Below are 24,330 nucleotides of genomic sequence, written 5' to 3'. Positions count from 1 at the left end.
TAGCATTACCTCAGGGATGAGGGAGTAGGGCACAAGGAGGGTTTTTGTTATACCTGTTATTGCATTTTTATACATTAAAAATAGAATCATGGGCTGGGGGTGGTGGCTCATGCCTATAATATGAGCACTTTAGGAGGCCAAGGTGGGAGGATCACTTGAGCCCAGGAGCTCAAGACCAGCCTAAGCAGCATAGGAAGAGCCCGTCTCTACAAAAAATACAAAATTAGGTGGGCGCGGTGGCATGCACCTGTGGTCCCAGCTGCTTGGGAGGCTGAGATGGGAGGATCACTTGTGCCTGGGAGGTGAAGGCTGCAGTGAGATGTGATTATGCCACTGCACTCCAGCCCAGGGGACAAAGTAAGACCTTGTCTCTGAAAAAAAAAAAAAAAAAAAAAACGAGGAAAAAAAAGAATATAACCATGTATTATTTGTATGATAAAAAATAAATTTAAATTGCTTCTTATTTTAGAGAGAGCCTACCAAATTTAATTTTAAAATAACCATAGGATTGCAATCCACAGAGGCTGATTTGGGGTATGGAGGGGAAATATCTTTTCTCAGAGGTATGGACCTCAAAATTCTGGACCAAGAAGGATCTTACAATGCAGTTAGTTTTTTGTCATATTTGGAGAGAATATACTCACAGTTTCTCGGTCCAACTGTATGCTTTCCATACATTTCCATCAAGGTATGAAATATAGTTTCCTTGGAAATTTCTGCAAAGAAAGACAGTTTATATCCTTGAATAGGCACGCAAAGAATGAACAGGATAAATAAAAGAATCATGGCAACCTTGTCGGGGATATTCGGAAACAGAAAATAACACCTGCTTTCTCATTTCCAGAGCTATCAGCTTCCCAGTTTGCACACTTCATCAAGAAATAATGCGGGGCCACTGGCACAAATGATGAGGCATCTCCCGGAAGCTTAACTTCCTATCCATCCCATCTCTTGGACAGACGATGCCAGTTAATTACTTTGAATGTAAGTATTTTATCCAAAAGCACTTATGTGTCTAAACAAACTCCTACAAATCAACACAAAAATGGTAAATAATTCAACAGAAAAATGGGCATAAGCTTATCTTTATCGATAAATAAGTAGAAAGAAACCCCATGCCAGGCAACACCAAAGCTTTGCCCTCTCTTGAAACATCCTAGGCTTTTTCTTTCCACTCTTATTACAACTGATCTGATTTAGCCCCTTCACACTTTACTCCTACATTTTGCTAGACCTTTCTATTTTGTCTCCCTGAAATAAGCTTTTCCTTTTGGGCACTCTACATATGGATTCTAAAATAATCCTTTGCATGTCTATACTTGAACATAAAGCAAAAAAAACAAAATAAAATAAAATAATCTTCCTGTTTTAATCATTTAATCTCTCTTGCTTGGAAACTTTCAATGGCTTTCCATACCTCATTGTGTACTCTTTAAGACCCAAGTAAACTTTTAGCTTATCCATGTAGCTTTCCCTGATCTCCACACCTCAAGGACCACAGATTCTGGTAAATTCTAGCACCGATGGTATGCATTATCTTTCAGGAATTAATTATATACACCGCCCTTTTTATGCGTATTCTCTCTCTTCCCTCCTATCATTTTAATGTTCTGCGGACAATAGCATACTTGGTCCTGGGTTTGACACAAAATGAGTGCTACATATAAAAAGCCAGGGACAAAGAGGAGTTCTGGACATAACTAAAGGACAGAGTAATCATGTTAACAGCCAACACTCCTACATATGCTAGGCACTGATGAAGTGTTCCATGTATTCACTCACCTAAATTTCACAACAATCCTATGAAATGGTAACTAGCATAATCCCCAGTTTAAAAGGAGGAAATTGAGTCACAGAGCAGAATAACTTGCTCTGGATCACCAAGCTAATAAACAGACCTGGGTTCAAACCCAGGCAGCCTGGCTCCAGAATCAACTCTTAACCACTTAGAGCATCATCACTGAGATTGGGAGAGTGACAGGCTGCTGTAAAGAGGGTGAAGCGGGCCAGGCGCGGTGGCTCACGCCTGTAATCCCAGCACTTTGGGAGGCTAAAGTGGGTGGATCGCCTGAGGTCAGGAGTTCAAGACCAGCCTGACCAACATGGAGAAACCCCGTCTCTACTAAAAACACAAAAAATTAGCCAGGTGTGGTGGCGCATGCCTGTAATCTCAGCAACTCAGGAGGCTGAGGCAGGAGAATCACTTGAACCCGGGAGACGGAGGTTGCGGTGAGCCAAGACCATGCCATTGCACTCCAGCCTGTGCAACAAGAGCAAAACTCTGTCTCAAAAAAAAAAAAAAAAAAGAGGGTGAAGCGAAAATAGGAGCAGAGCAGCGGTTAAGCAATGATGTGATGGGGTAAATAAGAACGGATAAGAAAACGAGTAAGAGTAAAAGACTGGAGAAAAAGTAAAAGACTGGAGAATGGGTCTAACATTAAAGGAGAATGAGGAGAAGGGAGAATTGACAGGCAAAGGTGAAAGCAGAAAGTCACTTGTCAGTATGGCTTGGGGAGATAAAGAAGGCCCAGGAAGGCCTCCAGGAAAAGGCTGCCATGTCAGGCAAGACACAGAGGATGATTGAGGAAAGGTGATTCTTACAAGGTGGTGAAGATGCCATTGTAGGTGTCGGGCTCTGGCACAGGCACTTGGCGGAGCCTCTGCTTTGGGCTGAGACCAACACATGACAGAGTCTCATCTCCGCAGGTGCAGAGCTCACATATGTTGGTGCTTGTGGAGGCCTTCTGTTCCTCTGGTGCAGTTTCAGACTGCACCAATGAATCCTGCGAAGATTCTAACTTTGTAGGTGGACCTGTGACTTCAGTCAGGCTTCGATGCAGAGTCTGAACCTGGTCTGGATGAGGAGCTCTAGTCTTCTCCAGGGCTGTGGAATGTCCAATCTCTGTAGTGGGTTCTGGAGTTATGGCAAGCCCCGGGTCTGGAGGCTGAGCTGAGGTTTCCTCCGTGGTTGGAGACGGTTTAACCTCTGTAGTAGGCTCTGTAGTTATGCTAAGCTCCAGGTCCAGAGGTTGAACTGTGGCTTCAGTCAGGTGTGAATGCTGAGCCTGACCCTTGTCTGAAGGTGGAAGTGTCACCTCAGGGTGTTCTGGAGGAGGATCTGTAGTCCTCAGGGCTGTAGAAGAAGGTTCCGCCTCCTCGGGAGGCTGAATTGGGGCCTCCTGCTGGGCTTGGGTAGATTCTGTCTCATTTTTAGGCTCTGAAGTCATGGTAACCTCCACATCTGCAGGTTTGACTGTAAACTTGGGCAAATTATAATGAGCTTGATCCTCACCTGGAGGTTGAACTGTCACTTCATGATTCAGTGGAGTTTGAGCTAGACTCTCCATAGAGGACTCTGGAGGCAGAGCTGGGGCCTCCTGCTGGGTTGAAGGTTCTACCTCCTGAGGGAGCTGTAGAAGCTGCGCTGGGGCTTCTTCCTGGAGTGAAGAGGACTGGATGTCTTCAAGGGTCTCTGGATTTTGACTTTTGGGCTCTAGATGGAATTGAGAAAGTCCAACTTGCTCAGGAGGCCCTGGAGGCTCATCTGCGTTCACCCGGAGTTCTGGAGGTAGGCTGCCGGGATACAGTGTGTCCATACTCAAATAATCATCTGGCAAAGTCTGTTTCTGACGCTGAGGTTTGGATAATTGGTGTGGAATCCCAACAATCTCAGGAAGGCTCCAACGTTCAGCTAGATCTTTCTTCAGGTTCTTGGGCGAAACAACAAATTTGGTTGGTCTTGAAACCTTACTGTCTAGTGGAACAAGTATTTCATCTGCCTGATGACCTGCAGCCCGATCTAGATCTGTAGTTTGAACCCACTTGAGGCGAGGAAGCTGAACTAGGGCCTGGTTCTGATCCCGGTTGAGAAGCGGAACCACCTCTGGGAGCCTTTCTTCTGGAGTCCGCTTGTCATTTAAGTCCTGATGTGCAGCCAAGAACGGCTCTGGCCCCAGGGGCAGCTCTCCAGCTGAATCCAATTCCTTCAGGAATGGAGCCAAATTTTCAGTTGGTTCCTGAGGCAGGGCTGACATCTGCGAAGAAGCAGAGGGCCCCAGGTAATCAAAGTCCCCCGGGGCTGCTGGGGGAGCAGGTGCATGGGGAGATTCCCATGGGAGATGGGAGGAGCGGGAAGACCAGGGCTCAGGTGGCCCCAGGGGGTTAGAGGTCAGCTGGAGCGGGTCCTTGACCCACACCAGAGGCTGAGCCTCCTTGACTAGTAAAGACAATAGTTGCCACGTAAGGAGGGGCCATGGGCCCCAGAAACGCAGCCAAGACATGACACACGCTGGTGCTATGCACTCAGCAAAAGCCATTCTGGCAGCCCTGAGATGCTCATGCCCCTTATAAGCGTGTGCCATGCCCTGTCTTTATGACACCTTTATTTATGTCACCTTTATTAGGCTTGGGTCCAGATCTGTTCCATGTTACCAGGGCAACCTTATGTCACAATCCCGCCCAAGCGCCCCTTCCCACCCCGCCAGGCCGGAACACCCCTCCCCTCCCCTTAGTGAGGAAGGATTTGGGCCGCAGACCGGGGTGGTCCCAGGACTCCAGCGGCCTGCTGTGGTGGGGTGGGGTGGGGTGGGGGCACGGCAGAGCTTCCCAAGGAAGTCACGGGACCTGGCCTTGGGATCTTCAGAAGTGCTAGTCCAGTTCTGGCAGCCTGAATTCTTCCTCCTCTGAGGTGAAATCCGAGAATACTCTTCCTTCAGGGGAGAGCAACTGACCTGCAAAATGGGCGCCAGTTAGGGTGGCAGGCAGGACGCGCGTTACAGTCATTTATTCCAAAATGTTGCCGTTTTCGCTAAACTGTCGCATGTTTGATAATTAATTCACCACCCTATTAGGTAGGGGCTGCCAGGGAATAAGCGAGGACTCCAGATTTTCTGTAGGAGGGGTGTTGGGGGTGGGCAATTCAGTCTGGGAGAGAAGGCTTCAATCCGAGGGAACAGCCCTTTGCACCAGCCTGGGAGGAGGCTGAACTGTCATCCTGCCTTAACTCAACACAGCCATTACCCTCGAAGTTACAGCGCCACCCTTCAGAGATCTACCCTGTGTGCACACATGGAGAAGAGGCTTAGGTTGTTAAAGTCAGCATGTTAAATCATTTCCTGAAATGCGACTATAACTAGAACCCAGCTGACTTCCCCCACAGCCCTTACCTATTTTATTACTGTCTGGCACAATTATCAGCATGTAAACCCCAAGAAGGAGCTTCATCTTCTTCCAGTGCCTAGCACAGGCACGGGGTGCATAGTGATGGTTTTAAAATTGAAGGGGGGCTGTGCACAGTGGCTCACACCCATAATCCCAGAACTCTGGGAGGCCGAGGTGGGTGGATCACTGAGGTCAGAAGTTCCAGACCAGCCTGATCAACATGCTGAAACTCCGTCTCTACTAAAAATACAAAATTAGCCAGGCGTGGTGGTGCATGCCTGTAATCCCAGCTACTCAGGAGGCAGGAGAATCCCTTGAATCTGGGAGGCAGAGGTTGCAGTGAGCCGAGATCGCAACATTGCCCTCCAGCCTGGGCAACAAGAGAGAAACTCCGTCTCAAAAAAATAAAATAAAATTGAAGGGATTCCAAGATTCGCCTCATTTAGGGATGGATCTATTGTTATAATCAGATTTCTGAAATCAGTGCTAACTTCCTCTCACATTTCACAGGAAGCTAGACTTCTTAAAGCTGGAAGTTTCCTTGGTGGGTTTGATTTAAATTGAATTAAAATAATTATTTTACAGGGAAAAACTTCAAAACACTTTGCAACTTTGGAGTGAAAGTTAAATAAAACACTCTAGCCCCAAATTAAGTTCCCATTGAAATGAAACTTTTGCTCCCTTTTTAAAAAAAAATCCATAAATAGTAAATAATTACTGTTTTCTTTTGAGATTAATTTAGAAATTTAATCCCTATTTAAGAGCTTTCATATGCAGTCATGCATTGCTTGCCATGTGAAGAGCTTGAGAAATGTGTCAGGTGATTTCACCATTGTGCTAACATCATAGTGTATACTTACACAAACATAGGTGGTGTAGCCTACAGCATACCTAGGCTATGCGGTATAGCCTAGGCTACAAACCTGTACTGTATGTTACTGTACTGAATATTAAAGGCAACTGTAACACAATGGCAGGTATTTGTGTATATAAACATGGAAAAGGTGTAGTTAAAATACTGTATAAATGATAACAATGGGGCCCAGGCGCAGCGGCTCGCACCTGTAATCCCAGCACTTTGGGATGCAGAGGTGGGTGGATCACCTGAGGTCAGGAGTTCGAGACCAGTCTGGCCAACATGGCGAAAAACAGTCTCTCCTAAAAATACAAAAATCAGCTGAGTATGGTGGTGCGTGCCTATAATCCCAGCTACTCAGGAGGCTGAGGTAGGAGAATCACTTGAACCCAGGAGGTAGAGGTTGCAGTGAGCTGAGATCGTGCCATCGCACTCCAGCCTGGGCCACAGAGTGAGACTCCATAACAACAACAACAACAAAGATAAAAATGGTATGCCTGTGTAGGGAGAGCTCCTTTATACTCCTATGGAACCACCATCATGTATGTGGTCTATTGTTGACCGAAACCTCATTTTGCAGCACGTGATTGTAAATGATTGACAGAAAGATCTTCAGCAAAATAGTCCACCCAAGGTATACGGGAGATAATGAGATCCAAGCAGTAAGCCACATTTGAAAGGCATTATAGTTTTTGAAAGCTGTAGCACAATCAGTCTTAAGGCCAGTTACATTCCCCCCACATCTCTGGTATCTTGTTTGAAGGGAGTTCTAAAAAGGCCTGTGTTCAAGCAGCCCAGCATCCCTTACTCCTGGGGCCGGGGGAGACTAACCCCTCTCCTGTGTCCACAACTGTAGTAATACAGTCCTCAGTTTTGCTCTCCAAACTTCAAATAAGGGGTCAGAACCAAGGGTCAAGACTTTAGGAAAAGCCCCAGAAATACCCTGCACTCAAAAAGCAGTTTCAGAGTTTCACATTTTCCTGAGAATGAAACAAATTATCCTCCAAATTCTGCTGCTTGTTTTGAATTATGGTTACACTGGCTATGTTATCTGACCCTTGAGTTTTGTTTTGTTTGTTTTTTGAGATGGAGTTTCGCTCTTGTCGCCCAGGCTGGAGTGCAATGACATGATCTTGGCTCACCACAACCTCCACCTCCTTGGTTCAAGCGATTCTCCTGCCTCAGCCTCCAGAGTAGCTGGGATGCATGCACCACCGTTTCCCCCATGTTGGTCAGGCTGGTCTTGAACTCCCAACCTTAGGTGATCCACCCGCCTTGGCCTCCCAAAGCACTGGCATTACAGGTGTGAGCCACTGCGCCCAGCCATGTTACCTTTGAGTTTTTATCTCCACATACTTGAATTAAACTGTGTAGTTCTTCCCATCTGACATCTACAATCTCTTCACTGGGTCTGCACTCCACAGCTATTTTACCACTTTCTGAAATAAAGTAAGCAAGTATCAATTCAGAATCTTTTTCATTCTAAAACTTCCTGAATATAATGGTAGCACCCCACAATGAGACATTCTTTTGGTTTCTAAAAGCAGAAAATAAGAGCATTTTCCTGGAAGTTTCCTCATCATATGCTTCGTTTTTTTGTTTGTTTTCTGTTTTTTTTGGAGACTGGGTCTCACTCTGTCACCCAGGCTGAAGTGCAGTGGCACTATCATAGCTCACTGCAGCCTGGAATTCCTGGGCTCAAGTGATCTTCTTGCCTCAGCCTCCAGAGTAGCAGGGACTACTCCCCTCTGCCCGGCTAATTCTCTTTTTTAGAGACATGGTCCTGCTTTGTTGCCCAGGCTGGTCTCGAACTCCTAGCTTGAAGTGATCCTTCTGTCTTGGCCTCCCCAATTGCTGAGATTTCAGGCGTGGGTCACCATGTCCGGTCTCACAGCTCAGTTTTTAACGTATGTATGAAATATCAACTGTGTTTGGTTCAAAGGACTTTATGATCTTACAGATAAGAACTAAGGAATAATAACATAAGAAATGAAAAATGTGGACACAAAAATGTTCAATCACAATATGATTAAATGGTAAGGCATCAGGTGGGGGGTCGAAGTAAGTTCAAATCCAAAATAGAGACCATGGGCTGGTAGACACTTCACATTAGAAGCATGGCTAGGTATCATCTACTCCCTGAGAACCAAAATTCCACCAGACACAGTGAACAAAGCTTCGGAGAGAGAGAACATTTGAACATTTTATTGGCAGAAAATGGCCCACATGCTCTACAGACAATACAACTTCCTTCAAGGCAAACTAGAGCTATAATGCTTTTGGTCTATGAAGTTTTCAGTGTGTGCAAGGGATACCTTTGCATAAGAGGGAGAGGTAAACAGCCCACACATTTAGCTTGGTTATTAAAGGTCCTCCTTCCCTATAACCTGATAGGTTATTTCCCCTAAGATCCAGATGAGTACACATTAGATGAAATTCCAGAAGTTATCTTCAAATTTTGCTACTCATTGAATGTCATGAAGATCCTGGAAACAAAAGAAAAAAACAAGAAACAACCTTGCTACTCAACAAGGGATTGATACTATCACATTTGAGAGAAATTCAGAATCACAGGCCTAAACCCAGGCCTACTAAATTAGGATCTGCAGTTTCTCACAATCTTCAGGTGATTTCTATGGTCATGAAAGTTTGAAAAGCTGCCTTGAAACAGTCCTTCCTAAAACTGAAGTGGAGGTGCAGCAAAAATCATCTGGTAAATTGTTAAAAGTCATCTCAAATGCAACCCAAATTTACAGAATCCCAGGTGAAGCTCAGTAGTCTGTATTTTTATCCTTCTCCCCAAATAATTCTGATGTGCAGGCAAGTTTGAAAACCACTGCGTTCAAGAAAATGGATACTCCCCTTACCAAGTGGAAAGTAGGATTTTGGAAACTCATGCAAGGGAAGCAAAAAGATGCCTCAGGAGGCACGATTACAACAGGATTGATGCAAACGGAAGCCAAAGCTTAACCACGGACATTAATATACGCCTACAAAAGAAAATGCTAAGGAAGTCAAGTGGTCTGCATGAATTCTGAAGAAAAACGGAGAACCAAAGACCAAAATTTGTCAATGAATTTCCAGCACAGCCCCAGGTTAAGGGAGTGAATTTCTTGACTGAATGACACAGACTCTGGACCACCTGATCGGTTATTACCTTAATGGAGGAATTATATTACAATGTATAGGTACTTTAATTAGAATGACCTGGCAGTTACTGAGGCAAAATTTTCTGTTCCTTTGTATTCTGTAACACAAGAAGGATCTACATGGATGTTCTCTTCTCTGAACTGTTTGGATGAACTAGTCAACGGCACTCATCATGCCTTGGGTTTTAAATCTGCATTGTGGTCATAATCTGTTATTTAATTAATTTCTCATATTTTTAATAAAAAGTTTGCCTATATATTTTAGACAGAAATTATCTTACTTTGCTGAAATTCTGAGAAATCCTAGACGGTTTTCAAGGCCGGGCTCAAATGTCACCTCTACTACCCTTTGCTGTGCCTCCTGGCGCTGTGCTTCTGACACTTTGTACGGTCCTCCATGACAGCGTGAGCACGATTATATTACAGGCAATTACTCATGCCCCCCTGGCTCATTTGTTGACTCCTTTAGAGCACAGATCATGTTTCAGTTATGGTAGTAACTAAAACAATATTTGTTCAACCAATGACACCCATAAACAAAAGTACCCGCCGAGGGCAGAGGTGCAGAGGTAAAGTCATGCCAAGATTAAATCCCAGAAACCATTGTAGATTTTTCCGAGTTGACCCATACATTTATTGTATTAATTCTTTAAAAAAAATTACAGTGTTTTCAGACTTCTAGACTTCAAAAGACAACTCTCTGTATAATGTATGTTTCTAGAAGGAAAAAGTGTAACATTGTCCCCTTGTTTCTAATTGGTATCTGAGAAAAGAGGCCTCACTCAATATTGGTATAGGGAAGGGGGAAGTTCATTTCCAGCAGAAGTTAATACTCCAGAACTAATAAAATCTAATTATTTAATCTGCTATTACACATCTATAAACCATGAATGGCATATCAAGAAGGAATAATCTGTGATGCATTGAAATCTTTTAAAAATTATGAAACTTACTTGTCAAATGTTACAAGGATTCACCTTTTGATGTGGAATAGTGTCCCAATCTGGTATTAACATTATTACTGAACAAGGCTGTGCTCTTTGAGTACATTCCATTTGCCCCCAATCCCTATCTTCTGTGTCAGTAATAATATAAAAATCACCAGCTAGCTTTTACAGGTGCTTTCTTTTTTTTGAGACAGAGTCGCTCTGTCGCCCAGGCTGGAGTGCAGTGGTGCAATCTTGGCTCACTGCAACCTCCACCTCCTAGGTTCAAGCCACTTGCCTGCCTCACTCCCAAGTAGCTGGGATTACAGGAGTCCACCACCACACCTGGCTAATTTTTATATTTTTTGTAGAGATGGGGTCTCACCATGTTGGCCAGGCTGGTCTCAAATTCCTGACCTCAAGTGATCCACCCACCTAGGCCTCCCAAAGTGCTGGGATTACAGGTGTGAGCCACCATGCCTGGCCTATAGAGTGCTATTTGCCAGACATTGTGCTGAGCACTTTAAAGTGCATTATCTTATTTTATCCTCAGATCAGCTCCATAAAATAGCTACCATTATTACCTCTACATGTATATAGATATATGTATCTATCTATCTATCTATCTATCTATATCTACATACATTGGAAGTCTCACCAGGGTTCTAACTTGTGCTTTCAACCACCATACATATTTTAAAGAGCGTAAGAGGAGAAACAACCATTTGTGTTTTAAAATTTTCCCAGATACCATTTCTGCTGCTCTTTCTTTATCTCTGAAGTTCTAGTATTACCACTGGTATAATTTTCCTTTGGCCTAAAGACCTGCTTATACATTTATTTTAGAGCAGAACTTCTGACAACACATTCTCTTAGATTTTCTTCATCTGAAATGTCTTTTTTTTCTTTTTGCCTTAATTGTTGAAGGGTATTTTTGCTGGATATAGAATTCTGGATTGACATTTCTCTCAGTACTTTAAAGATGTTCTGCAGTTACTTGAATCGCTGAAAGGCTTAAAGCTGGGGACCGGCTCTATCACACACATGTTTTACAGAAAGGTTCATTACTTTTATATCTTCATTGTGGGCCATAGCCTTTATCATCACTAGATCTTTGTTTCATTTAGGAGTTTTTAAATTTTGCTTTGAACCTAACTTTTGTAACTCCTTTCTTTTTATTTCCTACAATGTGGAGTTTATCGGGGACAACATAGGCAGTTGAAATACATAACTGGAGTTTAGAAGAGAGGTCTAGGTAGGAAAATGGATCTAGAAGTCATTGATATTTTGGTGGTAATTGAGTCAACTGATAATTAGGGGAAAGTTGAGGAAACTAAATGCTGAGGACTATCACATGTAAGAGGGATGTTTGAAGGAGGAATAACTGGTCAAGGAAATTGGGTCATGAGTGGCAACAGGAAATTTAAGAAGGATGTAGTGGCCAAAGGTATCATACATGCATTGTATATGTATATAGATATATATCTTTCAATGTATGTGGATATATGTCTACATACATATACAATGTATGCATGTAGATATACATTGAAAGTATAGATACATATCTATATACCTACATACATTGAAAGTGTATATAGATACACACACACACACACACACACACATATACAATTATAAGGGAGGGGGACTAGAATAAAGAAACCTATATGGTTGCAATACTTTGACGTTGTATTTAGAGGTAAAAGGCTAACTCTAAGTAGGTAGGTTAGGTGTATATTTTGTAATTCCTACAGCAAAAACATAGCCCAGATATGACCAAAAGCCATTTAATAAAACAAAACACTAAAAAATATTCAATTAATCCAAAAGTAGGCAGAAAAAAGAAACAGAAGAAACCCCCCAAAAAAGAGATAATCAGAAAACAAATAATAAAATAGGAAACCTAAATCCAGTCATTATCAATCGTATTAAATGTAAATGGTCCAACACACATTAATTAAAAGATGCTGTCAGATTACATTTAAAAGAAAAATAAAAAAAACAAGAAACCATTTGAAAATATAATGATGTGGCCAGGCATGGTGGCTCACACCTATAATCCCAGCATTTTGGGAGGCTGAGGTGGGCAGATGCCTTGAGCCCAGGAATTCAAGACCAGCCTGGGCAACATGGCAAAACCCCATCTCTATTTTTATAAATTGAAAGTAAACGAATATCATGATATATAGATTAAAAGCAAAAGGGTAGGGAAAGATATGTCATTCTAACACTAGTCAAAAACAGTATTATGTTACTAATATAAAACACTAATTTTATATTAGTATTAAATAATGGTTTTTTGTTTGTCTGTCTGTTTTCAAGACGGGGTCTTGCCCTGTTACCCAGGCTAGAGTGCAGTGGCACGATCTCGGCTCACTACAACCTCTGCCTCCCGGCTTCAAGCAATTCTCCTGCCTCAGCCTCCCAAGTAGTTGGGATTACAGGTGCCTGCCACCGCGCCTGGCTCATTTTTGTATTTTTAGTAGGGACGGGGTTTCACCATCTTAGCCAGGTTGGTCTCGAACTCCTGACCTCAGGTGATTCACCCTCCTCGGCCTCCCAAAGTGCTGGGATTACAGGCGTGAGGCACCGCACCTGGCCTGTATGTATGTATTTATTTGAGATGGAGTCTTGCTCTGCTTCCCAGGCTGGGATGCAGTGGTGTGATCTCAGCTCACTGCAATATCCACCACCTGGATTCCAGTGATTCTCTTGCCTCAACCTTCTAAGTAGCTGGGACTACAGACGTGTGCCACCACACCAGGCTGTTTTTCTATTTTTAGTAGAGACGGGGTTTCGCCATGTTGGCCGGTCTGGTCTTGAACTCCTGACCTCAGGTGATCCACCCGCCTTGGCCTCCCAAAGTGCTGGGATTACAGGCGTGAGCCACCATGCCTGGCCAAATAATGGTTTTTAGTATAATGATTATTACCAGAAATAAAGGTTATTTCAGAATGATAAAGGGGTCAAATAATCATCAAGAGGACAAAACTGTAAATGTTTCTGCATCTAACAACAGGGCCTCAAAATACAGGACGCATAAACAGACAGAATTTCAAGGAGAAAGAGAACAAACCCATAACAATCGTTGTAGACTTCAACACTCCTTTCTCAGTAATCACTAGAACAAGCAGACAGGAAATCAGCAAGGATAGAGCAGACCTTAACACGATCAACCAACTTGACCTAATTATTACTTATGAAACACTTTACCTAACGGCAGCAGGACACATCTTTCCTATTACAAACTGAACACTCACCTAAAAAATGTTTCAGGCCATATACAAACCTCTAAATTTTTTTTTTTAATTCATCATACCAAGTATGGTCTCTAACCATAATGGAATCAAATTAGAAACCAACAACAAAGATATCTGGGAAATCCCTAAATGTTTGAAAATTAAACAATACGTTTTAAAACAAATCATGGGTCAAAGAGTAAGTCATAATAGAAATTTTACTATATTGTGAACCAAATGAAAATGAAAATAAAACATATATCACAAATTCTAAGATATGTTTTTAAAAGTGCACAAAGGGGCTGGGCGCGGTGGCTCATGCCTGTAATCCCAGCACTTTGGGAGGCCGAGGCAGGTGAAACACCTGAGGTCAGGAGTTTGAGACCAGCCTGGCCAACATGGTGAAACCCCATCTCTACTAAAAATCCAAAATTAGCTGGGCGTGGTGGTGGGTGCCTGTAATCCCAGCTACTCGGGAGGCTGAGGCACGAGAATCATTTCAACCCAGGAGGTGGAGGCTGCAGTGAGCCAAGATCGTGCCACTGCACTCCATTCTGGGCAACGGAGCTAGATTCTGTCTTAAAAAAAGAAAAATGCATAAAGGAGCACAATGGTTTAGCCTGGAATCCCAGCACTTTGGGAGGCCAAGGCAGGAAGATTGCTTGAGCCCTAAAGTTCAAGACCAGCCTGGGCAATATAGTGAGACCTCATCTCTATTTGAAAAGAAAGAAAGAAAAATCAAAGAAAATGAGGTATATATGCACGATAGGATATTATTCAGCCATTAAAAAAGTGAAATCCGGGCCGGGCATGGTGGCTCACACCTGTAATCCCAGCACTTTGGGAGGCTGAGGCAGGCGGATCACGAGGTCAGGGGTTCGAGAACTGACTGGCTAACATAGTGAAACCCCGTCTCTTCTAAAAATACAAAAATCAGCGGGGCGTGGTGGCGGGTGCCTGTAGTCCCAGCTACTTGGGAGGCTGAGGCAGGAGAATCGCTTGAACCCAGGAGGTGGAGGTTGCAGTGAGCCGAGATTGTGCCACTGCACTCCAGCCTAGGTGACAGAGCAAGACTCCATCTCAAAAAAAAAAAAAAAGTGAAATCCTTCATCTATAAAGCTAGAGGTTTGGAAAATAAAACCTATTTGCAGCAACATGGATAGAACTGGAGGACATTATGTTAAGTGAAATAGGCCAAGGACAGAAAGACAAGTATCGCATATTCTCATTCATATGTGAGAGATTAAGAAGTTGATTTCATGGAGATAGGCAGTAGAATGATGGTTACTGGGGGCTGGGAAGCAGGTAGGGATGAAGACAAGTTGATTGATGGGCATAAAAGCACAGTCAGATAGAAGGAATAAGTTTTAGTTTTTGTTTGCACAGTAGGGTAACTAGAGTCAACAATAACTTAGTGTATATTTTAAAATAGCTAGAACATTTGTTATCTTCCCAATACAAAAAAAAGGATAAACATCTGAGATGATGGATACCCTAATTAACCTGATTTGATCATTACACATTGTATGAATCTATCAAAATATTACATGTACCCTTATAAATATGTACACTCTACCTTAAGGAAACAGTGAAAAAAGAAGGTGTGGAACAACAACGACCACAACAAAATCAAAGAGGAAAATCTTTGTGAACTTGGGTTGGTCAGGCCAGGAATCAGCAAACCATGGCCAATCCACTACCCGTTTTTGTAATAATCAAAAGAATAACAATATAATTGATAATTTGTAAATTATGTGAAATTCAAACTGCAGTGTTCATAAAGTTTTATCGGAACAGCTATTCTCATTCTATAGACATTACATATTGTCTACGACTGCTTTCATTGCTACAATGGCAGAGCTGCAACAGGGACAGCAAGGCTGAATATTTACTATCTGACCTTTTACAGAAAAAGTCTGGCAAGATCTGGGTTAGGCAGAGTTGTTAGATGAACAACAAATCTGTAAAAGAAAAAATGTGGTAAAGCAGACTTCATCCAAATTTAAAACTTATGCTCTGGGAAAAAGACACTGCTAAGACAATGAAACACAAGGCACAGATGGGGAGAAAATATATGAGCATCACAGAACCTAACAAAGCACTTATATCCAAAATATATAAAGAACTCTTACTACCCAATAAGAAGAAATTGGCCAGGCATGGTGGCTCATGTCTCTAATCCCAGCACTTTGGGAGGCCAAGGCAGGCAGATTGCCTGAGCTCAGGAGTTCAAGACCAGCCTGGGCAACACAGCGAAACCCCATCTCTATTAAAAATACAAAAATTAGCCACACATGGTGGTGGCATGCACCTGTGGTCCCAACTACTTGGGAGGCTGAGGTGGGAGGATCACCTTGAGCCCAGGGTCGAGGGGAATGACAGACTGCAGTGAGCCAAGATCATGCCACTGCACTCCAGCGTGGGTGAAAGAGCGAGACTCTGTCTTAAAAAAATAAAATAAAAGAAGAATAACAATAAAGAAAGCAACCCAATTAAACATCTTAAATAAAGATTTTGGTATCTTGGCCAGGCATGGCGGCTCATGCCTGTCATCTCAGCACTTTGGGAGGCCGAGGCAGCAGATCGCTTGAGCCCAGGATTCAAAATCAGTCTGGGCAACATATCAAAACCCCATCTCTATTTAAAACAAACAAACCAACAAAAAACTAGCCAGGTATGGTGGTGCACACTTGCAATCCCAGCTACTTGGGAGACTGGGAGGTGGGAGGATGGCTTGAGCCCAGAAGGTGGAGGCTGCAGTGAGTGGTGACTGTGCCACTGCTCTCCAGCCTGGGCAACAGAGCAAGACTCTACCTCAAAAAAAAAAAAGATTTTAGTATTTTTCCAGAAACAATGATATACAGATGGCAAATAAAAAGATGCACATAAAAAGAGGCTCAGAACCATTAGTCATTAGGGACAAGCAAATTAAAACCACAAGGAGCTACCACCATATACTTACTAAGGTGGCTAAAAAAAAAACCAACAAAAACTGACAATATCAAGTGCTAGGGAGGATACAGGGCAACCGGAACTCTTCATACATTTGCAGGTAAGAATGAAAAATGGTACAGCTACTTTGGAAAACAGTTTTGGCAGTTTCTTATAAATATACAACCCGGAAATCATACTCCTAGGTATTTACTCAAGAGAAACAAGTCTGCGTTCATACAAAAAACATGATGGAAATGTTTGGGGCAGCTTTATTCATAGCTGCCAAAAACTAGAAATAACCAAAACAATTTTGAATCGGATGAATTACCAAATTTGGTTGGATCTTGTTTGGCTTTCTGCTTTGCTTTTTAATCAGCCATTTACCAGCAACTGTTGCACTAGCCCGTCAGCACTCGAAGAATAAAAACAAACACACAGGACCAGGTAAAGTTCCCCTACTAACCAAAATGATCCGTTTCCTTAACACAATTTAAAAACCACAGCTAGGGGTGTGAACACAGGCATGTTTTTCTGTGTGTCTGTGTGCCACAATCTGTACAAATCCTTAATTCCCTTTTAAGGAACAGATATATAATGAAAATCCGAAAGGAAACACATTAGAAATGCAAAGAGGTTTGCAAAACAAGAGGCTTCTTTCATTCCAGAAAACCACACCAAAACAAGGGGAGAAAAATGAATGCAATGGATATGTGTTTGCCAAAGTTTCAATCCTGCCCGGTGGAGACACTGCACTGGCACAAATTTTGAGGAGAAAAAAAGGGAGTTGGGGGGACGGGGAGCAAGCGAGTGCGGCCTGCAACAATGCAATCTCCATTTTGAACAATGTGCTTCTTTCCTCTTATAAATCTAGTTTTTTGCCACTTGATGTGCCCTCCCATTTCCCCTCTAAAGTTTAGGGGTCGGCGGGGTTGGCGGGAGATCGGAGCGGGATGCACAGCACATAAGTGAGCAAGGGGGGAGGGGAGAGGAGGTGGGGAATGAGTCTGCAGCAACTGCGCTGGGTGGGTACCTGGAGTGCTGCTGAAGCTGCTTTCCGTGGAGTAACTGGCGTCCTCGTCGTCATCTTCCAGCTCCTCCGGATAATCGGAGTCATCGTCGTCCTCCTCCATGTCATCCTCCTAGTTGTCCTCAGACTCCTGGGTCTCCTCGGCATCGCCGCCCCCCTCCTCTTACTCCTCCTCCTCGCTCTCGTAGTCATCATACACCACTCTGTTGACAGCCCTCCGGGCTGCGGTGGTCCGGGCTAGGTGGCTGCCCCCGCGCCCCCGCCGGGCCCGTGCGCTGGTGCCGGCGCGGGGCGGGCCGGCGGCGGTGGCTTCCTCCGGCTACTGCTGCCCACCCTGGGCGAGCTCAGCCGCGTCTTGGGCGCCACCTCAGCCTGGCGGCTGCCCACCTGCCCCGGCTACTACCGCGTATCGGCGAGGGGAGCCCCCGATGGGTCCGGACGTGGGCGGCGGCGGCGGCGGGGCCGGGGCGCAGCGCTCCGCAGCGGGAGCCGCGGGCTGCTTGGTCGGCCTGCCCCGCCGGCCCCTCTTGTTGGAGCCCAGGCGGCGGGAGAAGGGAAAGCTGACGGGGAGGGCCGGGCGCAGTGGCGGCGGTGGGGAGCGCCGGGGCCGGGTTGGGAGGCCCGAGGGGCTGGGCGGGAGGGGCCCGGCCGGCGGAAGCGAGTGGAGGGAGAAGGCTCAACCGAATTGCTGGGGCCCCACTCAAGATCGCCTTCAACCGCCACCTTGTTTCTTCCCTCTACAGGAGCGCGGTCACGTGAGGTGCGCCGCCGCCCAGCCTGGGAAGGGGGCGAGGTGGCGCGGCGGCCGCTAGGGGGAGCGCGGGAGCATTGAGTCGGGGGCGGAGAGCTCGGGGCGCCTGGACTTGGCGCAGCACGGCGCTCCGGGTGCGGGTGGCGCGGCTGAAAGAGGCCCGCAGCTCCTGACAAGCCCCGCGTCTAAGGCCTTCGGAGACCACAGTCTCCGCGGACCCCTGGCTGGAGCCCAAAGCCTGCCGGGTCTCCTTCCCGCGACTCCCCTTCCGCGGCTCGGAGAGGAAGGCAGGAGAGCCCCCAAATATCGTTCCCCTCCCGCCCTCTAGGGAAACTGAGGCTGAAAGAGGCAGCGAGAGAAAGAAAAAAAAAGTCGCGGAGGGGGGCGGCCCGAGCGACCTAAGGGACGGGGCAGCGCCAGCGACCGAGGAAAATTAGTCGGGGTGGGGTACAGGGAGACAAGCCCCCAGAATTTAGGAAACTCCGAAGCTTGGAAGTGGAGTCCTGAATTGACTCCGATGACAACTGCTCCGGATCTGTGCCAGGAGCCACACCCCGGGCTGCCACGCCTGGAGGGAGGGGGGTCCCTAAGACCTGTTGCATGGGATCCCCACTCGGAAAGCCTCAGTAAACTCCAGAATGCAACTACTGCATGTTCCAATCTCCCGCCACCTTCCCAGTGTCCCAGCTAGGAGCCTGACCACCTTAGCAAGAACTTACCTCTCCTTTGCAGTGGAAAAGAGGGAATCCTGCCTAAAACCTACTTCACGGTGTTACAGGTCTGTATTATCGGGAAATAACCTTAATTTATTTACCTGACAAATCACTAGGTTTGAGCTCAGCCCAGGGGACGAATCATGGTGACAGTTCAGGCACCCTCAAACCTTATCACAGGGACTCAACCCTGAGTGGTTGAGGTCAGTTCTTCAGATAAGAGAAAGGTTTGCCGGGCACAGTGGCTGACGCCTGTAATCCCAGCACTTTGGGAGGCCGAGGCGGGCGGATCACAAGGTCAGGAGTTCGAGACCATCCTGGCTAGCACAGTGAAACCCCATCTCTACTAAAAATACAAAAAAAATTAGCCGGGCGTAGGTGGTGCACGCCTGTAGTCCCAGCTACTCGGGAGGCTGAGGCAGGAGAATGGCGTAAAATCCGGGAGGCGGAGGTTGCAGTGAACCGAGATCGCGCCACTGCACTCCAGCCTGGGAGACAGAGCGAGACTCCGTCTCAAAAAAAAAAAAAAAAAAAAAAAAAAAAAAAGAAAAAGAAAGGTTTCGTAAACATATGTTAATATTTATTGAGATAAGTGACAACCAAAAAGTAATTTAAACAAAAATACTTGGCCGGGCGCGATAGCTCATGCCTGCAATCCCAGCCCTTTGAGAAGCCAAAGCCGGACGATTGCTTGAGGTCAAGAGTTTGAGACTAGCCTGGGCAACATAGCAGGACCTCGTCTCTAGAAAAAAATTGAAAAATTAGCCGGGCATGGTGGTGCGCACCTGTGGTCCCAGCTACGCCAGAGGGTGAGGGGGCAGGATCGCTTGAGCCTGGGAGGTGGATGTTGCACTGAGCCATGATTGCACCTCTGCACTCCAGCCTGAGTGACAGAGCAAGACCCTGTCTCAAAATTTTTAAAAAAGAAAGAAAAATACCTAATAGGAGATGGCTTATTTCAATCTAGTTAGGAAAATGGAACACATATGTGAAATGAAAATTAAAATACAAGCACTAATTGCCAAATACATGCATTCAATACAGTTTGGTTGAGCTCTAAGGGTGGCAAATGTGTGTTATGTCTTCAGGGACTAGGTAAGTAATGTAAGTCAATAAAGTAGACAAGGTGAAGACCTAGGCCAATGGAAATGCTCATATTTTGTTTGAAGAGGGTGGCCAGGTGTGGTGGCTCAGACCTGTAATCCCAGCACTTTAGGAAGCCAGGTGGGTGGATCACTTGAGCCCAGAAGTTCGAGGTTAGCCTGGCCAACATAGTGAAACCCCATCTCTACTTAAAACACAAAAATTAGCCGGGCATGGTGGCATGTGCCCATAGTCCTAGCTACTCAGGAGGCTGAGGCAGGAGAATCGCTTGAACCTGGAAGGCGGAGGTTGTGGTGAGCGGAGACCATGCCACTGCACTCCAGCCTGGGCAACAGAGCGAGACTCCTTCACCACCCCCTCCCCCCCACCAAAAAAAAGAGAAAAGTTAAACAAAATAGACCAAAAAAACCCAACTCTTCTTTGAATGGATTAGCAGGTATTTGCTGTTTTGCTCCTTTATGCTTTAATGAATTTATCTTTCTGTGGCTTCAAGAAGAAAAATGTTAAGTCAGTGAATACTGTATAGGTTGAGCATCCTTACCTAAAATGCTTTGGATCAGAAGTGTTTTGGGCATTTTTGGAATATTTGCATTCTACTTACCAGTTGATCATTTCTAATCTGAAAATCTGAAATGCTCTAATGAGCATTTCCTTTGAACAGCATGTTGACACTCAAAAACTTTTGGACCTTGGAGCATTTTGGATTTCAGATTTTCAGAATAAGGGTACTCCACCAGTATCCTTTTATCTATGATTTAATATAGCCCTTCTTTCTTCAGAATTACTGAGTGACTCATTCCTGTAATGCTGCTGAATTTTTATTCATTTACTACCTTAACAATAATATTTAACATTTATTGATCACTAATGTGCCCAGGCACTATGGTAGATGCCTCATCATTATACTTTTAAGTCTTATAGTGGCACACAGGCAGGTTTTATTATATCCTCATTTTACAAGTGAGATAAATAAAATGTCTTAGAGACTCAGAGAGGTTGTGTTTTGTCCATGTCCACATATCTTCTAAGCACATTAGCCTATTTAAAGCCAGATCTCTCCAAAAGCCCAGTTTTTTCAGTTCCCTCAGTTTGCCATTGAGGAAACAGGAAAATCAGACTCACTGTCATCAATTGCCTCACACATACTCTTGAATTGCTTTTGAGTGGGAACAGAAATACCATTATGTGTGTTCCTCTACATCTAGTCCTAGACATTAATTTGCCTTGTTTCTTTTAAGTTAGTGACCATCTCTGTTGAAGTCTTTAAATCCATTAAAAGTGAATGGAACCTTAGGAGAGTTTTAGGCTGGAGAGGAAGCTCTTCTCTTCATTTTGGGCTTCGATTGTCCCGAAGAAAAGGGATGAGATATTATTTGAGATAACTCCTTCAAGAACCAGAACTTAGCAAAGCGTTTACACCAGTTTGATGGAAATATTTCTAAACTATATTATAAAATTAGCCAGGTATGGTGGCACATGTCTGTAGTCCTAGCTACTTGGGAGGCTGAGGCAGGAGAATTGCTTGAACCTAGGAGTCTGAGTACGCAGTGAGCCATGATGGTGCCACTGCACTCTAGCCTGGGTGACAAAGTGAGACCCTGTCTCTAAAATACATTTATTTTATTCTAAAATAATTCTAGGCTGGGTGCAGTGGCTCATGCCTATAATCCCAGCACTTTAGGAGGCCGAGGTGGGCAGATCACAAGGTCAGGAGATCAAGAACATGTTGGCCAAATCCATCTCTACTAAAAATACAAAAATTAGCTGGGCATGGTGGCACATGCCTGTAGTCCCAGCTACTCTGGAGGCTGAGGCAGGAGAATCGCTTGAACCCGGGAGGCCAGGGGTTGCAGTGAGCCGAGATCGCGCCACTGCACTCCAGCCTGAGTGACAAGAGCAAAACTCCATCTCAATAAATAATTAAAATAAAATAATTCTAAATACATTCGGCTCATCATATTGTTACATTGATGATCTTAAAGTTGATTGAGATGTAGCTGAAACTGGCTTCCACAAAGTACTCTCATATGGTTCTGAATTTTGAGGTCATCTTTCTCTGTATCAAGTTTTTTAGATGTCCTTTCTCAGAGTAAATCAAGTTTGAGTAAGACCTGCAGGGATCTCTTGTGAGCACATATATTGAGTTTTAGTGCATAAGCTTTAACTTTTCACTGGGTAGATGAAACTGTCAGAAAAGTGGCATTATGTCTAACATATAAAGTATTTCCCCATTTTTAAACAGAGAAGATACAGAAAATGAAAATGAAAATAAAATTTGGTACTACAGCACAAAGGTCCAGCTTGCAGAATTAATTGACTGTCTAGACAAAGATTATTGGGAAGCAGAACTCTGCAAAATTCTGGAAGAAATGCATGAAGAAATCCGACACATGGACATAACTGAAGACCTGACCGATAAGGCTCAGGGCAGTAACAAATCCTTTCTGGTGACAGCTAATGGTGAGAGGGTCATTTTCTCATTTTATTTTTGTTAAGTCTGAGCTAAACTGTTGGTATGAAATCACTGCAAAATTTGAAAATAGATTAAAAAAAATTTTTTTTTTTTTTTTGAGATGGAGTCTCGCTCTGTCGCCCAGGCTGGAGCGCAGTGGCACAATCTTGGCTCACTGCAACCTCCGCCTCCCAGGTTCACGCCATTCTCCTGCCTCAGCCTCCTGAGAAGCTGGGACTACAGGCGCCCACTGCCACCATGCCCGGCTAAATTTTTGTATTTTTAGTAGAGATGAGGTTTCACCGTGTTAGCCAGGATGGTCTCGATCTCCTGACCTCGTGATCCAACTGCCTTGGCCTCCCAAAGTGCTGGGATTACAGGCTTGAGCCACCGTGTCCGGCCAAAAATAGATTAAAATTTTCAAGTACAGTCATGCATTGCTTAATGATGGGGATACATTCTGAAAAATGTGTCATTTGGCGATGTCCCGATTGTGTGAACATCATAGAGTACACTTACACAAACCTAGATGGTAGGGTTTCCAACACACCTAGGTTATACGGCATAGCCTATTGCTGCTAGGCTGCAAACCTGCACATCATGTGACTGTACTGAATCCCGTGATCAGCTGTAGCACAACGGTAGGTATTTGTGTATCTAACCATATCTAAACATTTAAAAAGGTACTACATAAAATCTTATGGGATCACCGTCATGTATGTGGTTCCTTGTGGACTGAAACATTGTGCAGTGCATGACTGTGTGTATATTTTACTTTAGTTCTCCGTATTTCATTTTCCCAAGAGAACCTTGTTCATTCCCACATAAATTAGGGATGCTATATATTTTAGTGTTTTATTTCTGCCTTGGGTCATTACTAATATTCCCCAAAATGTTAGTTTAATTCAAGTATCTTATTAAACTTTTTTGGCATTCCAGCTTTTAAGAAATATTCTTTTTGAACTTTTTGCTTTTAAAAAATAAAACTTTAAAATTTTAGGATAGCTTTAGATTTATATAAAAGTTGCAAAGATAGTAGAGGGTTTCCGTATATCCTGTACTTGGTTATCCGTTATTAACGTCTTAGATTAGTGTGGGATATTTGTTACAACTAATGGGCCAGTGTTGACACACTGTTATTAACTCAAGTCCATACTTTACTCAGATTTCCTTAGTTTTTACCTGACGTCCTTTTTCTGCCTCATGATCCTATACCACATGATATTTAGTCATCATGTTTTCCTCTAGACTGTCGGTTTCTCAGACTTTCCTTGTTTTTGATGGCCTTGACAGTTTGGAGGAGTACTGGTTAGGTATGTTGTAGAAAGCCCTCCTTATGGGTTTTTCTTATGGTTAGCCTAGGTTTTTGCATTTTGGGGAGGAAGACCACAGAGGTGATGTGCAGTTCTCGTCTTATCAAGAGTGCATGCCGTCGTCGTGACTTATCACTGATGATGTTAACCTTGGTCCTCTGGGTGAGGCAGTGTTTGTCAGGTTTCCCTACATCCTCCCCCATCTCCTCAAACCTCCAATACTGTAAGTCACTGTAAACAGCCACACTTACTGGGTGGGGAGTTATGTTCTACCTTCTTGAAGGGGCAATATCTACATAAATTATTTGGAAGTTTTCTGCACAGATTTGTTTATTCATTTATTTTTTCAGACATTTATTTCTGAGTATAGATTTGTGGATATTTTATACTCATTGGGTTATAACTGGTTATTTATTAGGTTATAATTCAATGTCACCTTATTTGTCACTCAACTCTGCTTTTCATTTTTTTTTAGGTTTTAAAAACATATATACCTTAAAAGTTTAAATAGTATAAAAAGGTATGCTGTGAAAAATGAATCTCTCTCCTTCATTACTCTGAACTATAAATTTTTAAATATTTATGTAATACCATAAATGACATATTAGTTGTAACTGCTGAAAGCAGGATTTCACATTAAGATTTTCCTAATTTCTTATTAGCTCTGACTCATTTGAGGCTGAAATCTTACTATGCTATCTAAATC

At 43.9% G+C, this 24,330-nt stretch overlaps 2 protein-coding genes across 4 annotated transcripts in view, besides 3 other annotated features; one reads left to right on the top strand and one right to left on the bottom strand.

Annotated features, from left to right (window-relative positions):
* The window catches only part of LRRC37B (leucine rich repeat containing 37B), a 46,105-nt gene extending 28,061 nt beyond the window's left edge, over window positions 1-18,044 (bottom strand). The window contains exons 1-5 of one of the 2 annotated variants that reach the window (NM_001321350.2): window positions 17,295-18,044; window positions 7,373-7,455; window positions 4,624-4,730; window positions 2,602-4,034; window positions 645-716 (exon numbers count right to left, since the gene is read on the bottom strand). In NM_001321350.2, coding sequence (NP_001308279.1) covers window positions 645-716; window positions 2,602-4,034 — 1,505 coding nt within the window. In that variant the 5' untranslated portion in view covers window positions 4,624-4,730; window positions 7,373-7,455; window positions 17,295-18,044. Of the gene's footprint in view, window positions 1-644; window positions 717-2,601; window positions 4,320-4,623; window positions 4,731-7,372; window positions 7,456-17,294 lie in introns of those variants that run through there. The other variant, NM_052888.3, reaches the window with a different exon arrangement.
* Window positions 17,639-17,988: a silencer, noted in NCBI's record as "silent region_8417". NCBI's record gives its function as "represses an Ori minimal core promoter by ATAC-STARR-seq in GM12878 lymphoblastoid cells {active_cell/tissue: GM12878}" and the evidence as "EXISTENCE:reporter gene assay evidence [ECO:0000049][PMID:35858748]".
* LOC124903972 (uncharacterized) lies at window positions 17,720-23,783 on the top strand. 2 transcript variants are annotated; one of them, XM_047437248.1, is made up of 4 exons: window positions 17,720-18,051; window positions 18,722-18,820; window positions 22,102-22,319; window positions 23,669-23,783. In XM_047437248.1, the coding sequence occupies exons 1-4, from the start codon at window positions 17,720-17,722 to the stop codon at window positions 23,671-23,673; spliced, it is 654 nt and encodes a 217-aa protein (XP_047293204.1). In that variant the 3' UTR covers window positions 23,674-23,783. The 2 variants fall into 2 exon arrangements, with proteins under 2 accessions (XP_047293204.1, XP_047293203.1); XM_047437247.1 differs by lacking the exon at window positions 23,669-23,783 and having other exon boundaries at window positions 22,102-22,403.
* Window positions 18,029-18,078: a silencer, noted in NCBI's record as "silent region_8416". NCBI's record gives its function as "represses an Ori minimal core promoter by ATAC-STARR-seq in GM12878 lymphoblastoid cells {active_cell/tissue: GM12878}" and the evidence as "EXISTENCE:reporter gene assay evidence [ECO:0000049][PMID:35858748]".
* Window positions 18,121-19,043: an enhancer, noted in NCBI's record as "H3K27ac-H3K4me1 hESC enhancer chr17:30333403-30334325 (GRCh37/hg19 assembly coordinates)". NCBI's record gives its function as "activates a minimal SCP1, AML or CMV promoter by ChIP-STARR-seq in naive H9 embryonic stem cells {active_cell/tissue: H9 hESC(naive)}" and the evidence as "EXISTENCE:reporter gene assay evidence [ECO:0000049][PMID:30033119]".

This window comes from Homo sapiens, chromosome 17, assembly GCF_000001405.40.
Source record: "Homo sapiens chromosome 17, GRCh38.p14 Primary Assembly".
Lineage (NCBI taxonomy): Eukaryota > Metazoa > Chordata > Mammalia > Primates > Hominidae > Homo > Homo sapiens.
This window is presented reverse-complemented; position numbering and strand designations above follow the sequence as displayed.